Genomic DNA, 2,531 nt, shown 5'->3' with positions numbered 1-2,531 from the left:
TCACCAAGATCTGATCTTAAGTGAGACAGAACTGGGAAACAGAACCTTCAAGCTGAAAAGACCCTTAGACACCACCTACCACAATCCTGGAGAAGCACTGTTACTGCCAGTAGCATCTTGTAGCACCTGTTGACTCTGGAGACTTACTGGATTTGAAAGGCAAAACCTCTAAACACTTAAAATTTTAGCTATTAATGCTATTTTCATGATAGAGAAGAATTTAGGAAAACTCAGGAAGAAGGAAAAGTTTATTACCTCAAATAAATAAGCTGTTTAGATTGGTTCAAGCTGTTTGCTCACTTTTAAAGCATGTGATGGCTGGGCACAGTGGCTCATGCCTGTAATCTCAGCACTTTGGGAGGCTGAGGTGGGAGGATCGCTTGAGCCTAGGAATTTGAGACCAGCCTGGGAAAGATAGTGAGACCCCATCTCTACAAAAAATAAAAAATTTTTTTAAATTTAAAATAAAATTAAATAAAGCATGTGGCTTTGGGAAAGTTACTACAGTTTCTATACTAAGTTTTCTTCATTTATAAAATTAGGACAATCAAGTACCCCAAGATTGCTACAAAGACAGTAACAATATTCATCTTCTTTATTTTTTAACATATTGAGTTCCACAGTCAACTAGAATTGAATGAGGTTTAAGACTTTGATCCCACCCAAGAAAGAGCATATGGTTATAATGAAGGACCCAAAAGGACCGCATTTATGAGCAATTTTGATTGTATAAGAAAATTCTACAGTAGGCTGGGCATGGTGGCTCACGCCTGTAATCCCAGCCATTTGGGAGGCTGAGACGGGCAGATCACCTGAGGTCAGGAGTTCGAGACCAGCCCGGCCAACATGGTGAAACCCCGTCTCTACTAAAAATACAAAAATTAGCCAGGCGTGGCGGCATGCGCCTGTAGTCCCAGCTGCTCGGGAGGCTGAGGCAGGAGAATCGCTTGAACCCGGGAGACAGAAGTTGCAGTGATCCAAGATCGTACCACTGCACTCCAGTCTCGGCGACAAGAGCGAACTCCATCTCAAGAAAAAAAAAAAAAGAAAGAAAGAAAAGAAAAGAAAAAGAAAAAAAATAAAAGAAAGAAACTTCAATAGTACATTTCCCAGGGTCTGATAAAATGCTCGATCAAATGAAACCCAGTTGGATGTGGTTATCGGCATCGAGAGGAAAGAGTGGTAGAAGGAAGAATTCTTGTCCCTAAGGAACTTAGCATCCAGTTAAGGATACATAAAAGTATCAAACTCACTACAGAGCAGGCAGTTTGAGACCAGTGCCTTATGAATAACATAAAACACTGTAGGAGCTGGAGGGGAGAGAAGATGGTCTGCTGGAGCGAGTAGACTGGCCATCAGCTCCCACTGGGTGCTGGTTCCAAGACAGAGCTAGGACTCCAGTGCCCTTACTGGGATAGATTGTCCCCTCTCTGTTTCCTGGCCTGACATCACCATGTCATCAATCTGTTGTACAACTACAAAAGAGAACATCCAGATTTAAGTAGGGGCCATAATAAAGTGTGCATTTCGTGTTCACTTAAAACAGTGTCACTTAACTGCACGGCTGAGTCTCAACCCTGCTGGTCCTTCAACAACCCCGCCCTGGCCTTCCCATACACTGCACATCACCTCATTTGGTTGCCTACAATTGTTTTGCTTCTGGCAGTGGCTCCTAACACCAGTTTAAAGCAACATGAACAGCAGCTGCTGCCCATGCCTTCACTAATGTCATGAAACTCTGAGAAACCGTGAGATTTCAGGCTATGGCTATTTGCCATTTCATAACACAAAATACCAAATTCCGTGGGGCTGCATCTGCCTTATTCTCCACCATAACCTCTGTGCTTAGGACAGTCACTGGACATAGTAGAAACCTGACAAACCTTTGTTGAGTGGGTAAATGAATGGCTGTCAGCACACTTATTAAAAATTTTTCCACAAGAAGTAACAAACAACAAACTGTCTAATCATATAATAAATTCTATGCCTTGAAAAATGCATAGAACAATTTGGGGCTTCAAGCAAACATTTTAAAAAAGCTGATCTTAATCAGATTAAAAAATGAGCAAAAGATCTGAATAGACATTTTTCAAAAGAAGACATACAAATGGCCTACAGGTATATGAAAAAGTGCTCAATGTCACTAATCATCAGAGAAATGCAAATCAAAACTGCAGTGAGATTTCATCTCACCCCAGTTATAATGACTTTTATAAAAAACACAGGGAATAGGCCGGGCGCGGTGGCTCACGCCTGTAATCCCAGCACTTTGGGAGGCCAAGGCGGGCAGATCACGAGGTCAGGAGATGGAGACCATCCTGGCTAACACGGTGAAACCCCGTCTCTACTAAAAGTACAAAAAATTAGCCAGGCATGGTGGCACGTGCCTGTAGTCCCAGCTACTCGGGAGGCTGAGGCAGGAGAATGGAGTGAACCCAGGAGGCGGAGCTTGCAGTGAGCCGAGATCCTGCCACTGCACTCCAGCATGATGACAGAGCAAGACTCCATCTCAAAAAAAAAAAAAAAAAAAG

This window comes from Homo sapiens, chromosome 13 (genome assembly GCF_000001405.40).
Source record: "Homo sapiens chromosome 13, GRCh38.p14 Primary Assembly".
NCBI classification, from domain to species: domain Eukaryota; kingdom Metazoa; phylum Chordata; class Mammalia; order Primates; family Hominidae; genus Homo; species Homo sapiens.
The sequence above is the reverse complement of the archived record's forward strand: the minus strand, read 5'-3'. Positions refer to the sequence as shown.